The 19,934-nt window shown below is 49.0% G+C and overlaps 2 protein-coding genes across 9 annotated transcripts in view, besides 20 other annotated features; one reads left to right on the plus strand and one right to left on the minus strand.

The window, feature by feature from the left end:
- ASH2L (ASH2 like, histone lysine methyltransferase complex subunit) overlaps positions 1–4,127 on the plus strand; it is a 34,588-nt gene extending 30,461 nt beyond the window's left edge. For all 8 annotated transcript variants that reach the window (NM_001282272.1, XM_005273682.2, XM_006716412.2 and 5 more), the window contains 2 exons: positions 2,863–2,922; positions 3,011–4,127. In NM_001282272.1, coding sequence (NP_001269201.1) covers positions 2,863–2,922; positions 3,011–3,118 — 168 coding nt within the window. In that variant the 3' untranslated portion in view covers positions 3,119–4,127. The remainder of the gene's footprint in view (positions 1–2,862; positions 2,923–3,010) is intronic.
- Positions 2,238–2,532: a silencer, noted in NCBI's record as "tiled region #4493; HepG2 Repressive non-DNase unmatched - State 15:Elon, and K562 Repressive DNase matched - State 5:Enh". NCBI's record gives its function as "represses a minimal TATA promoter and a strong SV40 promoter by Sharpr-MPRA in HepG2 and K562 cells {active_cell/tissue: HepG2 | K562}" and the evidence as "EXISTENCE:reporter gene assay evidence [ECO:0000049][PMID:27701403]".
- On the minus strand, positions 6,747–14,999 carry STAR (steroidogenic acute regulatory protein). The gene is made up of 7 exons (NM_000349.3): positions 14,802–14,999; positions 12,688–12,801; positions 12,247–12,374; positions 10,336–10,494; positions 10,010–10,194; positions 9,269–9,362; positions 6,747–8,433 (listed from the first exon to the last, which is right to left on the minus strand). Exons 1-7 carry the CDS (start codon positions 14,863–14,865, stop codon positions 8,320–8,322), a joined length of 858 nt encoding a protein of 285 aa, NP_000340.2. The 5' UTR covers positions 14,866–14,999; the 3' UTR covers positions 6,747–8,319.
- Positions 14,838–15,137: an enhancer, noted in NCBI's record as "active region_27242". NCBI's record gives its function as "activates an Ori minimal core promoter by ATAC-STARR-seq in GM12878 lymphoblastoid cells {active_cell/tissue: GM12878}" and the evidence as "EXISTENCE:reporter gene assay evidence [ECO:0000049][PMID:35858748]".
- Positions 14,838–18,547: a biological region, named in NCBI's record as "STAR 5' regulatory region". NCBI's record gives its function as "regulatory_interactions: LOC116186927 | STAR".
- Positions 14,972–16,287: a promoter, noted in NCBI's record as "1.3 kb HindIII fragment". NCBI's record gives its function as "cyclic AMP responsive promoter" and the evidence as "EXISTENCE:reporter gene assay evidence [ECO:0000049][PMID:7547998]".
- Positions 15,024–15,028: a TATA box. NCBI's record gives the evidence for it as "COORDINATES:motif similarity evidence [ECO:0000028][PMID:16901925]".
- Positions 15,028–15,046: a protein binding site, noted in NCBI's record as "COUP-TF site; -42 to -24". NCBI's record gives the evidence for it as "EXISTENCE:protein binding evidence [ECO:0000024][PMID:16901925]".
- Positions 15,032–15,046: a protein binding site, noted in NCBI's record as "DAX1 site; binding may be influenced by polymorphism at SNP rs16887226 (PMID:16901925)". NCBI's record gives its function as "represses promoter activity" and the evidence as "EXISTENCE:protein binding evidence [ECO:0000024][PMID:9384387, PMID:16901925]".
- Positions 15,036–15,060: a protein binding site, noted in NCBI's record as "CEBP site; -55 to -31". NCBI's record gives the evidence for it as "EXISTENCE:protein binding evidence [ECO:0000024][PMID:10473624]".
- Positions 15,037–15,046: a protein binding site, noted in NCBI's record as "SF1 site; -42 to -35". NCBI's record gives its function as "positive regulation of promoter activity" and the evidence as "EXISTENCE:protein binding evidence [ECO:0000024][PMID:9188726, PMID:16901925]".
- Positions 15,069–15,092: a protein binding site, noted in NCBI's record as "-78CRE". NCBI's record gives its function as "mediates response to angiotensin II" and the evidence as "EXISTENCE:protein binding evidence [ECO:0000024][PMID:11145563, PMID:22253417]".
- Positions 15,069–15,094: a protein binding site, noted in NCBI's record as "SREBP-1a site; -90 to -65". NCBI's record gives the evidence for it as "EXISTENCE:protein binding evidence [ECO:0000024][PMID:11145563]".
- Positions 15,089–15,116: a protein binding site, noted in NCBI's record as "SF1 proximal site; -105 to -95". NCBI's record gives its function as "important for induction by angiotensin II and cyclic AMP" and the evidence as "EXISTENCE:protein binding evidence [ECO:0000024][PMID:9188726]".
- Positions 15,093–15,116: a protein binding site, noted in NCBI's record as "LRH-1 site; -111 to -87". NCBI's record gives its function as "positive regulation of promoter activity; antagonized by Nr0b1/Dax1" and the evidence as "EXISTENCE:protein binding evidence [ECO:0000024][PMID:15181096]".
- Positions 15,109–15,131: a protein binding site, noted in NCBI's record as "CEBP site; -140 to -118". NCBI's record gives its function as "mediates induction by prostaglandin E2" and the evidence as "EXISTENCE:protein binding evidence [ECO:0000024][PMID:10473624, PMID:18583320]".
- Positions 15,486–15,518: an enhancer, noted in NCBI's record as "Pax6 binding motif; methylation-sensitive". NCBI's record gives its function as "mediates positive regulation of promoter by Pax6" and the evidence as "EXISTENCE:reporter gene assay evidence [ECO:0000049][PMID:21971485]".
- Positions 15,899–15,928: a protein binding site, noted in NCBI's record as "SF1 distal site". NCBI's record gives the evidence for it as "EXISTENCE:protein binding evidence [ECO:0000024][PMID:8703908]".
- Positions 17,562–18,547: an enhancer, noted in NCBI's record as "H3K27ac-H3K4me1 hESC enhancer chr8:38011033-38012018 (GRCh37/hg19 assembly coordinates)". NCBI's record gives its function as "activates a minimal SCP1, AML or CMV promoter by ChIP-STARR-seq in primed H9 embryonic stem cells {active_cell/tissue: H9 hESC(primed)}" and the evidence as "EXISTENCE:reporter gene assay evidence [ECO:0000049][PMID:30033119]".
- Positions 18,035–18,060: a protein binding site, noted in NCBI's record as "SF1 site; -3056 to -3031". NCBI's record gives the evidence for it as "EXISTENCE:protein binding evidence [ECO:0000024][PMID:20601698]".
- Positions 18,191–18,208: a protein binding site, noted in NCBI's record as "SF1 site; -3204 to -3187". NCBI's record gives its function as "positive regulation of promoter activity" and the evidence as "EXISTENCE:protein binding evidence [ECO:0000024][PMID:20601698]".
- Positions 18,367–18,401: a protein binding site, noted in NCBI's record as "SF1 site; -3397 to -3363". NCBI's record gives the evidence for it as "EXISTENCE:protein binding evidence [ECO:0000024][PMID:20601698]".

Raw genomic sequence — 19,934 nt, forward strand, 5'->3', positions numbered from 1 at the left:
AAGGTCCTGCAGTTTGTGTGCGCCATACTTTTCCCTTGAGCACGTGGTGTGGTGTTACCGTTCAGTAGGAAGGATATAAATACACATACACAAATCCTCCTGGGATGTCATGATAACCCACCATTATTAGTCATTGTTGCTTACAATGATTTTTTTTTTTTTTTTTTTTTTTTTTTGAGACAGTGTCTCACTCTGTTGCATAGGCTCACCATAGCCTTGACCTCCTGGGCACAAGTGATCCTCCCACCTCAGCCTCCTGAGTAGGTGGGGTGTGCTAATTTTTTGGTTTTTGTTTTTGTAGAGGCAGGATCTCACTACATTGCCCTGGCTGGTCTCAAAGTCATGGGCTCAAGCAGTTCTCCCAGCTCAGCCTCCCAAAGTGCTGGGATTACAGAGAGGCATGAGGTACCACATCTGGCAAGTTTTTTTTTTTTTTAAATATGATCCAAACATGAAGAAGGGTACTATCATTAGGGCCTGTTGGTTTTAAAAATATATAGGTAGATAGGTAGATAGATACAGATATATAGAAAAGTTGGGGCTGGGTGCACTGGCTCACGCTTGTAATCCCAGCACTTTGGGAGGCCAAGGTGGGTGGATCACTTGAGGTCAGGGGTTCGAGACCAGCCTGGCCAACATGGCGAAACCCCGTCTCTACTGAAGATACAAAAATTAGCTGGGCTTGGTGGCACATGCCTGTAATTCCAGCTACTCAGGAGGCTGAGGCAGGAGAATCACTTGAACCCAGGAGGCGGAGGTTGCAATGAGCTGAGGTCGTGCCACTACTCCAGCCTGGGTGACAAAACGAGACTCTGTGTCAAAAAAAAAAAAAAGAAAGAAAAGAAAAGAAAACTTAGGCCAGTCGCGGTGGCTCATGCCTGTAATCCCAGCACTTTGGGAGGGTGACTCAGGCAGACCATTTGAGGTCAGGAGTTCAAGACCAGCCTGGCCAATGTGGTGAGACCTCGTTGCTACTAAAAATATAAAAATTAGCCAGATGTGATGGCCACGCGCCTATAATCCCAGCTGTGGGGGAGGCTGACGCAGGAGAATCACTTGAACCCGGGAGATGGAGGCTGCAGTGAGCCAAGATTACACCACTGCCCTCCAGCCTGGGCAATAGAGTGAGACTCCGTCTCAAAAAAAAAAAAAGGGCGGGGGTGGCGCTGGGCACAGTGGCTCACGCCTGTAATCCCAGCACTTTGGTGGGAGGCCGAGGTGGGCAGATCACGAGGTCAAGAGATCGAGACCATCCTGGCCAACGTGGTGAAACCCCATCTCTACTAAAAATACAAAAATTAGCCGGGCATCGGCCGGGTGTGGCGGCTCACACCTGTAATCCCAGCACTTTGGGAGGCCGAGGCGGGCCGATCATGAGGTCAGGAGATCGAGACCATCCTGGCTAACACGGTGAAACCTCATCTCTCTAAAAATACAAAAAAAAAAAAAAAAGAAAAAAAAAAGCTGGGCCTGGTGGCGGGAGCCTGTATTCTCAGCTACTCAGGAGGCCGAGGCAGGAGAATGGCGTGAACCCAGGAAGTGGAGCTTGCAGTGAGCCGAGATTGTGCCACTGCACTCCAACCTGGGCAACAGAGCGAGACTCTGTCTCAAAAAGAAATAAAAAATTAGCCAGGCTTGGTGGCACGCGCCTGTCGTCCCAGCTACTCAGGAGGCTGAGGCAGGAGAATTGCTTGAACCTGGGAGGTGGAGGTTGCAGTGAGCCAAGATCATGCCACTGCACTCCAGCCTGGTGACAGAGCAAGACTCCGTCTCAAAAAAGAAAGAAAAAGTTAATGCATGAAGATTTCCATGTACTTTTAGTCTGTCAGTAGGCACCATTGAAGCAGGTAAAAAAAAAAAAGGAAATCTTTAAACAGTGTAAACCAAAACTATCTGAGACAGATCTCAATCAATTTAGAAGTTTATTTTGCCAAAGTTAAGGACCTGCCTGTAAGAAAAAAACAGAATCACAGAAACAGTCTGTGGTCTGTGCCTTTCTCCAAGGATGAATTTGAGGGCTTAAAAGTTTTAAAAAGAAAAAGGGCTGGACGGAGTGGCTCACGGCAGTAATCCCAACACTTTGGGAGGCCAATATAAGAGAATCAGTTGAGCCCAGGACCTCGAGACCAGCCTGGGCAACATAGCAAAACCCCCTTTCTACAAAAAAATACAAAAAATTAGCCAGGCGTGGTGGTACATGCCTGCAGTCCCAGCTACTTGGGAAGCTGAGGTGGGAGGATCCCCTGAGCCCAGGAGGTCAAGGGTGCAGTGAGCCGTGATCGCATTGTTGCGCTGCAGCCTGGACAACAGAGTCAGAGCCTGTCTCAAAAAAAATAAAAAGTAAAATAAAGGGGAAATGCGGGCTGGAGGGGAAAGTAGGAGGGTATGGTCATCCACATGTTGCAAGAGAAAAGGAGCAGATAGGGGAAAGTCAATTATGTATTCATCTCATGCCCGGTAAATCGGCACTTCACATAAGGTAAGGTGAACATAAAGTAGCTGCCTGTGGGGATATTTAACGTTTTATCTGTAGGTGTCTGCTTAGCAACAAAAGGAAAGGCAGTTTCTTGCATGACTCAGCTTTCAGCTTAATTTTTTCCTTTTGACAGAGCAAATTGGGATCCTGAATTTTTATTTTTCTTTGACAACAGAAATCAACACAGATCTCTTTTAGTTACCTAATTCTTGATGGACATCAGGATGTTGACCACTTTTAGTAATATTTAATATATATCTTATTTGTTCCATTTATCCCCCGAGTATTGTAGCCACATTTAAAGTGAAAATTTCCTGTGTCAAATTAACTTTTCCAATATTTTTTGTCCATTTTTTCCATGTCTGCTTGAATTGAATTCGCTCCAGGTTTCCATTAACTTTGGACCATGCTTCAAGTATCCTCCGAAGGATCTCACTTACCGCCCTGTGAGTAACATTACAAATGGCTGCATGTGTCCTCAGCATCTCCGTGGCTGCTGTAGTCACCGTGTTCTGTTTCTCATTCCTCCTGCAGATGAGTGACATGGGCTGGGGCGCCGTGGTAGAGCACACCCTGGCTGACGTCTTGTATCACGTGGAGACAGAAGTGGATGGGAGGCGCAGTCCCCCATGGGAACCCTGACCAGGTCCCTCTTTTCTGTCAAGGACTTTCTGGGAATAATACTGGGGGTTTTGTTTTTGTTTTTGAACTGTCTCAAATGTTCTCCCAAAGATGCTAAAAACACAGCCTCTCCTTTTAGCAAGTTAAAAGGCTGGGTAGGACTGCGGGAGACTGCCTGCCTTTCACCATTTTCTCCCCACTTCCAGTGACTGCTCTTATTTTGTGTACCATAAGCCAACAACCGCTGACTCCAGGATTGCATAAGCCCCCTGTGAAATCGGTGCTGTACTGCATACCCTGCCAGCTGTGACTTGTTATCCTACTATATTTTCTAAGGAGTGAATAATATTGTCCGAGTAACTAACTTATTTAAAAGACATTTCCTTCTGTGGGCATTGACTGTATCCCACCTGTTTTCCAAGGAAATGGTAACCTGTTTCTGAGAACACCTGAAATCAATGGCTATACATTCCAAACCAATCTAAACGCTATTTCCTTTTGGTGTGGGTTTGGTTTTGTTCATTTTGAAATACACTTTTGAACACTGAGATCCGTAAAACTACTAGATCTCTGGAAGTGTAATTGTGAAAGAAACTTGCTTGCAGCTTTAACAAAATGAGAAACTTCCCAAATAAAACTTGTTTTGAAGTTTATGTGACACTTTGCTTCCCTTCAGATTGGGTGCCTCTTGGTGACAGTGTTCAGAAATGTAAGCAGCACGAGGAAGGGAGCTGGCACTGGGAGGAAGAGCCGGGTTTCTGAGTTGTGTTTTGGCTGCTTTCCTATTGCTCCCATTCTTGCCAATCAGCCACCCCCTTTCCTGTGAAAATCTGCCACCTTGAGGAGAGGAACAAGAGTTTAAAAGGGCTAATGATCTCCCTCCCGGTCTTCCCTTGGAACATGGATGTTGATATATGTGCGGGTGGTTTCCTGTCTTGCTTATCTTCCTTTGCCCTGAGCTGATGGCTAAAGGGCAGTTTTCGGACTATTAAAGACTGAAATGTAAGAATGAGCCTTCTAGGCTGGGCGCGGTGGCTCACGCCTGTAATCCCAACACTTTGGGAGGCCGAGGCAGGTGGATCACGAGGTCAGGGGTTCGAGACCAGCCTGACCAACATGGTGAAACCCTGTCTCTACTAAAAATACAAAAATTAGCCGGGCGTGGTGGCGGGCACCTGTAATCCCAGGTACTCAGGAGGCTGAGGCAGGAGAATTGCTTGAACCCGGGAGGCGGAGGTTGCAGTGAGCTGAGATCGTGCCACTGCACTCCAGGCTGGGCGACAGAGCAAGACTCTGTCTCAAAAAAAAAAAAAAAAAAAAGAATGAGGCTTCTAGGCACTGTGGCTCACACCTATAATCCCAGCATTTTGAGACATCAAAGCAGAAAGATTGCTCAAGACCAGGAGTTCAAGACCAGCCTGGGCAACATAGCAAGATCCCTTCTCAGTAAAAAAATTAGCCAGACGTGATGACACATGCCAGTAGTCCCAGCTACTCTGGAGGCTTAGGTGGGAGGATCCCTTGGGCCCAGGAGTTCGAGGCTGCAGTGAGCCATGTTTGCACCACAGCACTCCAGCTTGGGCGACAGAGCAAGACCCTGTGTCCAAAAACAAAAAACCCTTTCCTTTTGGATTCATATATAATTTCCTTATCTTCCTTTTTCTTTTCTTTCTTTTTCTTTTTCTTTTTTTTTTTTTTTTTTTTGAGATGGAGTCTTGCTCTGTCACTCAGGCTGGAGTGCAGTGGCGCAATCTTGGCTCACCGCAACCTCCGCCTCCTGGGTTCAAGCAATTCTCCTGCCTCAGCCTCCTGAGTAGGTGGGACTACAGGCACGTGCCAACACACCTGGTTAATTTTTTTTCGTATTTTTAGTAGAGACGGGGTTTCATTGTGTTAGCCAGGATGATCTCGATCTCCTGACCTCATGATCTGCCCACCTCGGCTTCCCAAAGTGCTGGGATTACAGGCATGAGCCACCACACCCGGCCTGTCTTCCTTTTTTCAATACATCAGTCTTACGGCAAAGACAGCCCTCCCAGGATTGCCCAAAGTCCCTCCTGCATTTACCTCTCTACCTCGGTTAATAAGTAGAGTGGCTCACCACTGGAGGGTGACATGCTGCTGCAGAATCACCATGTTATGCCTGTGGCTCTTCTGAATATCTTATCATTTTCCTGTTTAAGAGAGTTCCCACACTTCAAGACAATATTGGTATTTTAACATAGTAGCATTGATTAATATATTTGTCTCCCGATGAATCACCCAGACACTTTGATTTGGCCACTGCATATCTCTGAACAGGAAAGCCTATACAGGTCGAGTGTGATTGGAGGCTGAGGCTCAGCCCTAGACACCTATTAATGCGTGAACTAGTCTTCAAGGGCAGACCTGGTTATAAAGCTTCTAGATCATCGGAGTTTGAGGTACTCCAAGAAAATGAGGGTGGTGTTATTTAGAGGAAGCTGAATGTTAACTCTTTGTAATATAAATTACCACATATAAGTTGTATACACACTCTCCATCTAAATTATAAAATTAGCTTTTTGTATATATTTTCACAAATCAAAGGTTACAGGTAATGATGTTCTTCTCAAACTTCAAAAGTGTGTGTGTGTTTTAATACAGTTCATTTGAAGGGCTCAGAGAATATCTACTCTTCACAGCGTCCTATATAAAATAGTTTCTGTAATCAGATCAACAGTGATAACTTGTTTTATTCCAGTGTAAAATTAAACAAGTGGGAAAATATCTCCACAGAAACCAGAAAGACACAATTACATAGTTTGAAGGAGGCAATTAGAATCCAGCAAACCAGTGGGTTTGTTAAAAGCCTATTTCTTGACTGTCAGCCTGTTCTCTTGAAACTACAATATATGTTGCTTTAAGGTATCTTTAAACAAGTAACTATTTTCTCTTAGCTGGTAGTGGATGATAATTCCATTTTAGAAATACTTCTCTACAACTATCCTCTCTCAACTCTGAGGCTCCTAGATAAACAATAATTTTATCCATGTCAAAAATAAACTAAGAAACAATCCGAATAAATTATAATAAATACCTTTACTAGTTGTAAAATTTTAATACCTCAGGAAATACCACAGTGTTCCCACTAATGCTATTTTTTAATTTTTTAATTTAGTTTGTCATAATTTGGTTTCATCAACTCCTTTGTTTTTTCCTTCTTTTTTTTTTTTTGAGATGAGGTCTCACTATCTTGCCCAGACTGGTTTCGAATTGCCCTCCAGCAATTCTCCCACCTCAGCCTTCAGAGTAGCTGGCATTGTGGGTAGGCACCACTGTGCCCAGCTCCTGTTTTATAATAAATAAGCCAGAGCTCTATCTCCAAATGGTGCAAATCATCAATGCTATTAAAACAAGAATGGAAAAGCTTCAGGTGGTAATGGTGATTTTTTCATCCTCCCTACCCCCCTCCCATCCCAATGTGTGTGTGTGTGTGTGTGTGTGTGTGTGTGTGTGTATAATTTTTTTTTTTTTTTTAAGACAGCCTCGCTCTGTCGCCCAGGCTGGAGTACAGTGGCTCGATCTTGGCTCACTTCAACCTCCGCCTCCCGGGTTCAGGCGATTCTCCTGCCTCAGCCTCCCAAGTAGCTGGGATTACAGGCATGCACCACCACGCCCAGCTCATTTTGTATTTTTAGTAGAGATGGGGTTTCTCCATGTTAGTCAGGCTGGTCTCCTGCCCTCAGGTGATTGCCTGCCTTGGCCTCCCAAAGTGCTGAGATTACAGGCGGGAGCCACCTCACATAAATTCTCTTGACTCCTGGGAAAGGGAATTTGCTTTCACCATATTACCCCTTCTTCCAGCCACTTCTCCCAGAATACTAAACTTTTAGCCTGTTTAAGCAGAGAAGTTGCCAGCCCCAAACAAAGTTGACAGCTGTGGAATTATCTTACTACTAATTGGCATCATAAATAACAGAAATGTTAACTAATATTGTTTATCCTCTCATATTTGGCACTGCCTTTCCTTTTAATTAGGTAAATAAACAGTTATAATCTTCATCTTCCAGGGCCCATTAATCAGCTATTGCTTATAGAATTCTTTAAGAACTCATTTAGGTTATGATTATGGAAATTAAATTTTTATGAAAGATCCTGGTAACAGAGTCTAAATTATTGAATTGCATAATTTCCCAGTAGTTCCTTTCCTTTTAATGAGCCTTAATTTAGTTTGACTAATTAAAAGCTTTGTCCAGAACTCCTCTAGTGTGAAGTTGTAATCTACTAGCATAGATTTTTTTTTTTTTTTTTTTGAGATGGAGTCTCACTCTGTCGCCCACGCTGGAGCGCAGTGGCACAATCTCGGCCCACTACAACCTCCGCCTCCGGGGTTCAAGTGATTCCCCTGCCTCAGCCTCCCAAGTAGCTACGACTACAGGTTTGCGCCACCACACCCAGCTAATTTTTTGTATTTTAGTAGAGACGGGGTTTCACCATGTTGGCCAGGATGGTCTCGATCTCCTGACCTTGTGATCCGCCTACCTCAGCCTCCCAAAATGCTGGGATTACAGGCGTGAGCCACTGCACCCAGCTGCATAGATTTTTTTAACAGTACAATATTAAAACAAAGACTGATGTTTGTGTGAATTATGATTCTTTATTCTGACTGGTGCCTATGAAAGCAATAGGGAAACATGTCTACTAATGAGTTTTGTCTTTTTCCACAGAGAAAGCTTGGACTATATTTCTGGAAGGCACCCACTGTGGGGTGCTGCTTGTTCTGTGGTGTTGCTGTGCAGCGGCCGGGAGGAGCAGAGGGCTGCAGGAGACCCTCTGAGATTCTGCTTTGTGCACATGTACTGCCAGCGCATGGCATTCTTGAGCCCATAAAGCAAGACTTCTCAGGCCCTGTGGTTAGCATCCCCCACACCCATATCAGCCACTAGCATTTTAAAGATGGTTTTAGGTGGGTACATAAGGGCCCAGAAAAAAAGTTTTACAATTATTTTAGGGGCCTGAACCCTCATGTCATAGCTAATCAGTGAATGAAGTTACCTTTTAATCCAAGAGCCTCATCCCTGTTTTCTTGGTACTAAAAACTTTCACCAATCTGAATCCTAGTGTCATACTCTAAACACGAACCCCACCCATCCCACTGTCACCAGATGGAGATCTTAGACTTGCAGGCTTCCAGTAGGGATTCTCCTGATGAGCGTGTGTACCAGTGCAGCTGGGCACAGTTGGGAACAGCAGGCTGGTCTTCAACACCTGGCTTCAGAGGCAGGGTGGGACTCCAGGCGCTTGCGCAGGTGGTTGGCAAAATCCACCTGGGTCTGGGACAGGACCTGGTTGATGATGCTCTTGGGCAGCCACCCCTGCAGTAGGAGGTAGGAGAATTTGGCCATCTTGTGGGTTTTGGCCCACTCTTGACACTGCACCCTATCACAAACAGGCTGCCAGGGGCTTGGTCTTCGAGCTCTGTTAATAGGTGCAGCCTTGGAGTTGCCCAGTCAAGGGCGGGAGGACTGCATTGCTCCTCTGCTGTCATGACTTTCAGAAGCACAAGACTGGCCAACAAGATGTTTCAGCCTGGTGTTCCCAGCTGTGTGACCCTGAACCAGTTATGTTGCCTTTTTCACCCTTCAGATCTCTGGACCTAAGTTTCCTTCTTTCTAAAATGATAACTACATATAAGAGTTGAACTTTGCTGTGAGACAGAAGAGGGCCAGGCGCAGTGGCTCACGCCTGTAATCCCAGCACTTTTGGAGGCAGGCAGATCACGAGGTCAGGAGTTTGAGACCAGCCTGGCCACCATAGTGAAACCCCGTCTCTACTAAAAATACAAAAATTAGCCATGTGTGGTGGCACACGCCTGTAGTTCCAGCTACTCAGGAGGCTGAGGCGGAAGAATCACTTGAATCCGGGAGGCGGAGGTTACGGTGAGCTGAGACCATGTCATTGTACTCCAGCCTGAGTGACAGAATGAAACTGAGTCTCGAAAAAAAAAAAAAAAAAAAAGAAGAGGGGGCCATCACAGGCTTTGGAGATGGTAGAGTAGCAGTTAGGCCATCACTCCAGACCCTTCCCTGTCTTACAGCCTGTGATTCTATCAGAATAGAAGAGGATTCTTTCTGCAGCATGGGGGGAATGGGAAGAGCCTGTTTTTCTCACTACCACCTGCCTTCCAGGTCCCCCTCCCATGCCCTTCACCTTGAGGTCGATGCTGAGTAGCCACGTAAGTTTGGTCTTAGAGGGACTTCCAGCCAACGGGTGAAGCACCATGCAAGTGGGACCGTGCTCCGCCCTGGCAAATGGAGAAGTCAAGTCAGGAGGACAGTTGCGAGTTCTCTCTTGCACTGGCTGCTTACACCAGTACCATAGATAACACGTTTCTACGGTACCTTGTCTTTTCTGAGTCTCATCAGGGAAGTGCCCTTTGCAAAGGGTAATTATTTGGCAGTTGGCACAGTTACCAGCTCATCAGAATAAAGGCTGCTTGTAGCTGGAGCAGCCCCTGCGGCCTCTTGTGCCCTTTAGTTGCTGGATTACTGGGATGTCAGGGAAAGGATTCAGGCTGGTGGCTGGGCTGGGGCCTTGGGAAATTCAGGAGGCTGTGGTGTACTGAGTGGTATGGATTATTTCAATATTTTAGTCTACATTACAGCTGTTCCTGAGCGTACCAGGTGAACCTCAGCCCTGCCCCATGCTTCAGAAAATTATTAAGGTTCTTAAACTTTCTGGGAGGGTCATGACAAGCTGTCTGGCTGTCCAAGTAGGGCCTATCTTGTCTTTGTCCCTCCTTTGGTAAATAAGTATCTTCTTTTGTAGAAGGAAGCCATGGGTGCACCAAGGGTTGGTTTCTTGGAGCTGGGGATGCAGTCCACATGCTTGGGTGCACACCTGCAGGCCTGTGTTAGAAGAGGGGGGTTTGGAGCCTGCTGCCCGTATTACCTGATGACACCCTTCTGCTCAGGCATGTTCCCGAAGTCTGTGGCCATGCCAGCCAGCACACAGGTGGAGCCTCGGCGCTTGGCACAGCGCACGCTCACAAAGTCACGGGGCCCCACCAGGTTTCCTGCTGCCTCGGCAGCCAGCTCGTGAGTAATGAATGTATCTTTTCCGATCTTCTGCAGGACCTACCAGGCCATGGGGAACCAGAATCACGACTCAGCCTGTGTTGGGCTAAGCACCCCCCACAGCTAGGGGTCCTCTCTTTGATACAGCATTCACACTGGGCTCTCCTGGGCCCCTGCCACCTGCACCTGGACTTTGCTCACCTTGATCTCCTTGACATTGGGGTTCCACTCCCCCATTGCTTCCATGCGCTCCACGAGCTCTTCATAGAGCCTCTCCATGGGCTGGTCCACCACGACCTCCAGCCGGAACACCTTGCCCACATCTGGGACCACTTTACTCATCACTTTGTCCCCATTGTCCTGTCAGAGAAAGGAGCCCCCAGAAGGTGGTTAGACAAAAATATTCTTGGCCGGGCATGGTGGTTCACGCCTATAATCCCAGCACTTTGGGAGGCCAAGGTGGGTGGATCACAAGGTCAGGAGTTCGAGACCAGCCTGGCCAAGATGGTGAAACCCCGTCTCTACTAAAACTACAAAATTAGCCAGACATGGTGGCAGGCGCCTGTAATCCCAGCTACTTGGGAAGCTGAGGCAGGAGAATTGCTTGAACCTGCACGGCAGAGGTTGCAGTGAGTGGAGATTGCACCACTGCACTCCAGCCTGGGCGACAGAGTTGTCTCAAAAAAAAAAATTTTATATATATATATATATTCTTAGTCTAGGTCCCATAGGCAATACAAGGCAAGATGGGGAGGGGAACAGCAAAGGAACTCCAAGTTGAGCACGAGGAAGCCTGGAACTGTCCTAAGATAGAGTCGGTAATCATTGTTGCCATGGCCTTGTGCATCTGCTGACAACTGGAGGAAGTTACCTGCTGCCACTGGACCCTTTTTAAGATTTTTTTCTTGTTTTTTTTTTTTGAGACCGTCTCACTCTGTTGTCCAGGCTGGAGTGCAGTGGCACAATCACGGGTCATTGCAGCCTCAACCTCCTAGGCTCAAGAAATTCTCCTGCCTCGGCCTCCCAAGTAGCTGAGACTACAGGCAAGCAGCATTACACCTAGCTAATTTTTAAATTTTTTGTAGAGATGTGATCTCCCTGTGTTGCCCAGGCTGGTCTCAAACTCCTAGGCTCAAGCAATTCTCCAGTCTCGGCCTCCAGGCGTAAGCCACTGCACCCAGCCCCACTGGACCCTTTGTCTTGGTGGTGAATGATGGTGGTATGGGTAGGTCCAACTGAAAAGACTCTTACTTGACTTCAGAAGCTCAAAGATCCCAAGAGAGAAACCTGGGAGTGGGAAAAGTGTTTTACACCAGCTTAATTAGATACATAGAATGTTGAATGGGATCTTCAAGATTTGTTTTAGTTCAATACCTCATTCCACACCAGAAGAATGTGGGGCCAGAGAAGGTCAGTGATTGGCCCAGGGACCCTTAACTAAGAGCAGTGCCGACCTAAGTCCCAGTTGGCTCCCAAACTAGTAGTCTGTTAACTCCATTACTCTGAGAACTTAGGGAAGGAAGGGTTCTACCTGAACTTTGTGTAGTGGGCAGCATGTCAGCTTTTGCTGAAGGTAAAGCCACCAAAATCTCCATAACAGAGCCACCAGCCTTTACCGTGAACCTGGTTACTGTCCCCTGTGATGGGTCAGTGCTCAAGCGCAGAGAACCCCAGAAGGCCATGGACCACTCTGTGTTCTAGTCCAGGCCTGTTGTAGGGTGAGCCCACATCACCCCTGCAAGCCCAGCCACAGGTGGGCTGACAGCACAGACAGTGCACTTTGGCATCGTTGGGATATCTGACCCAGGGCAATGAGGCACTTGGAGTTCCCCTTGCATGATGTCTGCCAAGTGGGCACACAATGCAATCCTATTCTGTAACTAAGGACACAGGAATAGTGTTTCTCAAACAGGACTCTCCAGGGTGTCTTTTATGGGGGAAGAGCATTATCTGAGGATATATTCTCGAGAAAGGAGAGTTCTCAAGATAAAACCACTTGCTACCCAGTGACTGCTGCATGAGACAGGAATTCTGGGAAAAATAGTAACCCCAGCTGGCCTTGAGGATGGCAGTGGAGCATGGAGGAACCACAGGCTTCTCCCCGACACTTACCTGCTGACTCTCCTTCTTCCAGCCCTCTTGGTTGCTAAGGATGCCCAAGGCCTTCTGCATGGCCTCCTCCCCCTGCTGGAGATAGGCCAGCTCCTGGTCACTGTAGAGAGTCTCTTCCAGCCGAGAACCTGGATACACAGCCGAGGAGAGACAGAGCTTCCTTCTTCTCCCAGCCTCCACCAGCTCTCATCCCTGGAGCTCTGGGTCTGCTCATTGCTCTGAAGAGCCCGGACTAAAGCCATAGGGGCCAGCCTGCTGGTCGAGTTAATCACAGCCGCCCCAGGTGACCAGAGAGGGATCTGGCCTTGAGGAACTCTAGGCTGGGGACGTCCTCTCAAAATGAAGGAATGGCAGGAGGGGAGCCAAAGCCACATGCACCACATCACCCTCCAGGGAACCTCCTGCCAGCAGCACCAGGAGCCCAGAAGCCTCAGCACTTACCGAGTAGAGAGCTCCGCCGCCGAACCTGGTTAATCCACGTGCTAGGGGTGGGGCCCCCCAGGGCCCTCCGGTTCAGCTCCTGGCTGATGGCCATCACAGCCTGTTGCCTCAGCCCTGCAGAAGGGAATAACCCTTGTCTAGGAGCTGGAAAGCCCCTTAGAGATGGACCACTCCCACCCCCTCATCTTGTCTCAAATGAGTAAGTTGGTTTGGAGAGGGAAGTGACTTGCTCAGGAGCACACAGGATTCTAGCAGGGACCTGAACTAGAGCCAGGCCCTCAACTCCCATGGCAGTGCTCCAGGGTCCAGAAATCTGCCTTCCATCTGGGGTGGTCAGGCCTGGCCCTGCCTGGAGATGGGCTATACCAGAGCCTGCTGGAGTTTCTGTCTCTAAAAGGGGAAAAAGCTGTGTTCAAGCAACCAGAAAAATCCTACTTCATAAGGAGAATACAACTCCTGAGGCCTGTGTGCTTGCATGAGTCTGTGTGTCTGCACGAGTCTGTGCTTGCATGAGGTCTGTGTGCTTGCCAGAATCTGATTGCATGAATCTGTGCTTCTGTGAGTCTGTGTGCTTGCATGCATAAGCTACTCTGTGTGCCCCTGGATTCTGGGCCAGGGAAGCCCTGTCCATCTAGTGAGGACGACAACACCACTGCCAGCTGCAGATCTAAGCATGGCTTCTCGCTCTAAAGGTAGCTAATTCAATCCAGTGTAATTGGAAAGATCGTGCCTAGATTGACTTGTGTACCCTTCAGTGGCAGCAGGGGATTGATTCAAATGACCTTGGATGCGAATCAGCTCTACAAAAGTGGCCTCTTGTAGCTGGTTTCTGCCCCTTCCTGGCTATTCAATGATAATCAGTCTTCCGTCTTATCTCTTTACCTTGCCCTCCTGTCTTACTCCCCTATGTCTCTTCTCCGTCTTTTTTTGCCTGTGGGAGTCAAGTCTAATATTTACTCTGCCACTGTGGGCAAGACTTTCCTGTGTACCCCTGCTACAAGACTTGTCCAGCTCTGAAGGAAGGCAAAGTCAGGAATAGTTCAAGAAAGATGGCCAGGCATGGTGGTGCACGCCTGTGGTCCCAGCCACTCAGGAGGCTGAGGCAGGAGAATTGCTTGAACCCAGGACGCAGAGGCTGCAGTGAGCCAAGATAGCGCCAGTGCACTCCAGCCTAGGCAACAGAGCGAGACTGCCTCAAAAATAAAATAGGCTGAGCGCCATGGCTCATGCCTATAATCCCAGCAGTTTGGGAGGCAGATCACCTGAGGTCAGGAGTTCAAGACCAGTCTGGTCGACGTGGCGAAACCCTGTCTCTACTAAAAATACAAAAACTAGCCAGGCGTGGTGGCATGCACCTGTAATCCCAGCTACCCAGGAGGCGGAGGTTGCAGTGAGCCGAGATCGTGCCACTGCGCTCCAGGCTGGGCAACAGAGTGAGACTCCATCTCAAAATAAAGTAAGCCAGGTGTGGCGGCTCACACCTGTAATCCCAGCACTTTGGGAGGCCAAGGTGGGAGAATCCCTTGAGCCCAGGGGGTCAAGACCAGCGTGACCAATATAGCAAGACATTGTCTCTAAAAAAAATAAAAATAAAAATAAATAAATAAAACTAGCTGGTTGTGGTGGTGCACGCCTGTAGTCCCAGGTACTCAAGAGGCTGAGGTGGGAGGATGGCTTGAGCCCATGAGTTTGAGGCTGCAGTGAGCTATGATTGTTCTACTGTACTCCAGCCTCTGTGACAGAGACCTTTATTCAAACAAAAAAAAAAGAAAAGGCGGAAGAAAAAAAGAACGAATGAAGGAAAAGGGGAAGGAAGAAAGGAAGAAAGAAAGGAAAGGAAGGAGGGAAGGAAGAAAGAAAAAGAATAAAAATGAAAGAAAAGGAGAAAAAAAGATTGGAGTCCTGGAGGGGAGACCAGAAATTATAGAATCTGGAAGGGATATATCTTAGTAACCAGCCCACTTCTTCCGAGGGGAAAACTGAGATTCAAGAAGGGAAGAAACTTGCCCAGGTTCACCCAGTAAGAGGCACAACTAGGATCAGAATTGGGTGGCCTGAGCCTCATCCGCTGAGAGCTGGCCAACCCCTCATCGCCTCCTTCCCGCAGCGCTCACCCTTCATGTTGCGCATGTGTCTGTAGGAGCTCCCAGCGCACAGCTTGAATGTCGCTAGCAGCATTGTTTCCTGGCAAATGTGGCAGTGGTGGGGTCGCTGCCGCTGCTGCTGCCGCCGCTGCTGCTGCCTCTTCTCTCAAGGGTGGTTCTTCGTCCTTCCTGAGCCCCTCAAGCTTCGCCTCTGAGTCCCGCAGCTGCAGCCTGGACCTGGTGTTCTGCGTCTTAAATGTCCCCCGCTGAAGGCTGTGCATCATCATCAGGAGATAAAAACGCCATCACTCACTGTGCAAAGGAAGGGGTCAAGGATAGAGCGATTGCCTCACACTGCTGCTTTGGCCGTTTGTGGGGAGCTTGGGGCGGGGGAGGGTGCAGGGGAGAGTAGGGAGGACAGGGCCAGGCGAGGGATGGAGGGGAGAGAAGCAGGGGCAGCTTAGATGAAGGCACACAGTGGTTTTCAAGACTTTAAAGTGCAGATTTCTAGCCCTTGTCTTCAGAAACTCCAGGCTCAGCTGATCTGGAATTGAGGCTCAGAAACCTGTGTTAAAAAAAAAAAAAAAAAAAAAAAAAAAAAAAAAAAAGAAGGAAAAGAAAAGAAAAAAGAAAAAAAGAAAAGAAAAAAACTTCCCTTGGCCAGGCGCGGTGGCTTACGCCTGTAACCCCAGCACTTTGGGAGGCCGAGGTGGGCAGATCACTTGAGGTCAGGCGTTCGAGACCAGCATGGCCAACATGGTGAAACCTCATCTCTACTAAAAATACAAAAAATTAGCCGGGTGATGTGGCAGGCACCTGTAGTCCCAGCTACTCGGGAGGCTGAGGCATGAGAATCACTTGAACCCAGGAGGCAGAGGTTGCAGTAAGCCAAGATCGTGCCACTGCACTCCATCCTGGGCGACAGAGTGAGACTCCGTCATAAATAAATAAATTAAATAAATAAATAAATAAATACCCAGTGGTTGCAATGCAGGTGTTGTGTGGACTACACACTACACTTTGAGAACCACCGTCTCGCGAGAGTGAGCCAGGGTGTTTACCAGGCAGTAGAGACCATATGGCTGCTCTTCTTCTGGGTGAGGACCCTGAAGTCCACAGAGTGGAACTGACTTGTTCAAGGTCAAACAGCTGGCCAGTGGCAGGGCCAGGACAACAACCCAAGCCTCTGGCCTTCAAGCCATCTGTACACAGTTCCTCCTGCGGTCCCCAGGACGCTTGGTATATTCAACTGTCAATTTATTTACTCATCTATTTATAGAAACCACCTTTCCCAAAGTCCTGTTCCGAGTGAGGGTTCTTAGGGGTCTGTGCTGGAGCAAGGATGACCTCTCGTGGCTGAGTCGCGGGGGGGCGGGGGGGGGCGGGGCAGCCCTATCAGTATACGGCAGAGAGAAGAGGAGGGCCTGGGCCACGCCCACACCCTTCCTCACACTTTCCCGCCAGTAGCTTTGTCTGAGTGAGCTGGGCTGGGGGTCTTGGTATGTGCAGAAAGCTTGAAAAGACAGGGCATGGGCTGGGCACAGTGGCTCATGCCTGTAATCCCAGCACTTTGGGAGGCTGAGGCGGGCAAATCACAAGGTCAGGAGTTTGAGACCAGCCTGACCAACATGGTGAAACCTCGTCTCTACTGACAATACAAAAATTAGCCGGGAGTGGTAGCGTATGCCTATAATCCCAGCTACTCAGGAGACTGAGGCAGGATAATCACTTGAACCCGGGAGGCAGAGGTTGCAGTGAGCCAAGATAAAGCCACTGTACTCCAGCCTGGGTGACAGAGCAAGACTCCGTCTCAAAACAAAAACAAAAACAAAAAAACAAAAATTAGCCAGGCATAGTGGCAGGCACCTGTAATCCCAGCTACTCAGGAGGCTGAGGCAGAATTGCTTGAACTTGGGAGGTAGAGGTTGCAGTGATCTGAGATCACACCATTGCATTCCAGCCTGGATGACAGAGCGCGAGACTCTGTTGCAAAAAAAAAAAAAGGAAAAAAAGAAAAGACAGGGCGTTGGGGTGTTCACCCTAGTCTTTGCACTTTAGGGGCCCTGTCAGGCTGAGCAAGGCCCCACGAGGCCTCTGCATTTCCCACTCACCCTTACCCAGGCGCAGCACGTGCTGGGCTCTGACTCTGACGGAATCTCTTCCCTTTACAGTGACCTTGAGGCTGCTTTTAAGCCAGATTCACTGGGCAAGAATATTGGGAGTGGAAAAACTCACACTGGAACTGCCCCTGGCCCAGGCCCTGCTCCCTGTGGGAGGGAGTTCTGTGTCCTGCCACCACCTCACAGAGGCAGAGGGGAGCCCTAAAAATGGGGAGCAGTGCCGGGGCCCCATGCACTCTCGCTGTCTCCCCAACACCAGACAGGGTGAAAGGGACAGGATCTGCTCAGAGCCAGGCCTGGCACTTGGAGCCCATATAGAACAGGGGAGTCACCCCCCTGGCCCCCGATTTCCACCCCGGTGATGCAGTCGGGGAATCCTGTGAGCAGAGGCTGCCTAGAGGTACCCGGCCCCTTCCTCAAAACCTCCTCCAGGAAACCTTCCTAGACCATCCTGGTCTTCTGGAATGCTGGCTCCTCCCACCACACCCTTACTGTCAGTATCACTTGAGGGGCTTAGTTCTGGTCCTGATTTGTTGAATGGTTTGTATGTGTTTGCTTGTCTCTTCTGTGGAATTATCTCCCCAAGGCAGGTGCTGGGTCCACTTTCCCCCTTAAAAGCTGTCCCCACCCTCAGCACTCACCTCCAGCAGAGACACAGGGGACTCTTGCTCCTTCTCTATTAAAACTTTTTTTTTTTTTAATTTTTAAAAATAGAGACGGGGTCTTGCTATGTTACCCAGGCTGGTCTTGAACTCCTGGGGTCAAGCCATCCTCCTGCCTCGGCCTCCCAAAGTGAGCCACTGTGCCTGGTGTGCTCCTTCTCTATTGAGTGACCAACTGGGAAAGCAGCTAGGGGTGCAGGTATATCTTTAGACTCAGGAAACCTGCCTGAAGGCATTGTTTCCAGCCCTCAGTCCCCAAGGAAGACAGCAGGGCCTCTCCCCCGTCGCCAGCCTGTGCCTAGGCCCTCTACCTTTCAGAGAGGAGGTGCAGTGGATGAGCTGGGCAGGTGGGGTGCCAGCTCCCCCGGCTCCTCCCTCTGATCTGCTGGGGCATGTGCCTCTCCTGCACATGTGTGTCTGCAGGCCTGCCTCAGCGAGGTGGGGGGAGGGGGAAGGCGGTTATTATGGGACAGGCCATGCAGATGATGATCAAGGCCCTGCTGCTGCCTTCCTGTGGAGAATTATGGCCATTCTGAAAGGGGTGGAGGTGGTGTGGGAGACGGAGGATAGAGCCTATGGCTGTGGCTGATGTCAGAGGCTGCCATTGACTCCTGGGAGGGGGTGGTTGGGAGGTGGTGCTGGGTGACCTCTGCAAGGGCCAAGGCTCTCTCCCTCATCCTTTCCAGGCAGAATGACTCATTAACTCTCTCCATCCCTCTGAGCAGTAAAGTGGCGAGAGAGGTCTGGGAATTTCCTCTGGTTCTGGACCATCTGTATCTGGCTCTGCTTTTTGATGAGGGCAGAGCTTCCAAGAAAGGAGGCCAGATGACCATGGCAGGCCATGGGGGAGGAGAGCCAGGAGGCCAGCTCAGGTGGTGTGGATGTGCCATGCTGGAGAGGAAGGCCCCCAGGCCAGGCGAGAGAGCCAGGGCTTTGGAGCAAAAAAGGGGATTCCTTCCTTCCTTCCTTCCTTCCTTCCTTCCTTCCTTCCTTCCTTCCTTCCTCCCTCCCTCCCTCCCTCCCTCTCTCCCTCCCTCCCTCCCTCTCTCCCTCCCTCCCTCTCTCCCTCCCTCCCTCCATTCATTCAACAGTCCTTTCCTGAATGTCTCTATGTGGCTCTAAAGTTAGGACAATATGAGTTGAACCATAGACCCAGTATGGACAGTCGTAGAGCAGATGAGGTGTTTTGGAAGTAGAGATGATGGAACCTCTAATTCTATGGGGGAGGGAGGGAGGAATGTTACGGAAGGCTTCTGGAAAATACGAATGGGAGTTAGCTAGGTTTGTGGAGGGGGTTGAAAATAGAGAGTTGATGGGGTAAGGGTGTCCCAGGTAGAGCAGATGGCCAGCAGCTTGGAGGAGACTCTGAGGGCTGCGAGCTGGCTGTCAGGGGAAGCTTGGGCCATTCCACGTGGCCTCAGCCTCCCAAAGTGCTGGGATTACAGGCGTGAGCCACAACGCCCAGCCTCTTTTTATTTTCTTCATCCTCTCAGGTTAGTTATAAGGTTTAAATGAGGTAACAATACATCAATACCTCACAAGATAAAGTCCAGAATTCTTAGCACAATTCCAATTTGGCCATTCCAGTTCTCACCTGGATTCTACCCAGCAGTGCTCAGCTCTCCCTGTGGTGCCTGCTGCCATCCATCCTGTGCATACCTTCTCTGTTCCAGGGATACTTGCAGTGCAGTCTCCCCTCAGAGGCTGTCCTCTGTGCCTTTCCTCACCCTACTCTTTAATTAGAATCCAATATTTTGGCCCGGCATGGTGGCTCATGCCTGTAATCCTAGCACTTTGGGAGGCCGAGGTGGGCGGATCACCTGAGGTCAGGAGTTCGAGACCAGCCTGACCAACATGGAGAAACCCCGTCTTTACTAAAAATACAAAAAAAATTAGCCAGGCATGATGGCGCATGCCTGTAATCCCAGGTACTTGGGAGGCTGAGGCGGGAGAATTGCTTGAACCTGGGCGGTGGAGGTTGTGGTGAGCCGAGATCGCGCCATTGCACTCTAGCCTGGGCAACAAGAGCAAAGCAAAACTCCGTCTCAAAAAAAAAAAAAAAAAGATCCAATATTTTACCTTTTGGCCCCACCTTGATAAATATTTATCACAGTATAAATAAGACTCTTGCCAATTTCTCCTTGTTTTACTTTTTTTTTTTGAAACGGAGTCTCGCTGTCTTACCCAGGCTGGAGTGCAATGGCACAATTTCGGCTCACTGCAACCTCCGCCTCCCAGGATTCTCCTGCCTCAGCCTCCCGAGTAGCTGGGATTACAGGCACGCACCACCACACTTGGCTAATTTTTGTATTTTTAGTAGAGATGGGGTTTTATCATGTTGGGCAGGCTGGTCTTGAACTCCTGACCTTGGGATCCACCCA

This window comes from Homo sapiens, chromosome 8 (genome assembly GCF_000001405.40).
Source record: "Homo sapiens chromosome 8, GRCh38.p14 Primary Assembly".
In the NCBI taxonomy this organism is placed as follows: Eukaryota; Metazoa; Chordata; class Mammalia; order Primates; family Hominidae; genus Homo; species Homo sapiens.

What these genes read in the sequence shown, in the direction of transcription:
- STAR (NM_000349.3), bottom strand. Translation starts at nt 14,865, where the DNA reads ATGCTGCTAGCGACATTCAAGCTGTGCGCTGGGAGCTCCTACAGACAC. An exon ending in CCAATGTCAAGGAGATCAAG is followed by an intron (nt 10,195 to 10,335) that starts GTGAGCAAAGTC and finishes ATGGCCTGGTAG; the next exon opens with GTCCTGCAGAAGATCGGAAA. An exon ending in TACTCAGCATCGACCTCAAG is followed by an intron (nt 8,434 to 9,268) that starts GTGAAGGGCATG and finishes CTCCTACTGCAG; the next exon opens with GGGTGGCTGCCCAAGAGCAT.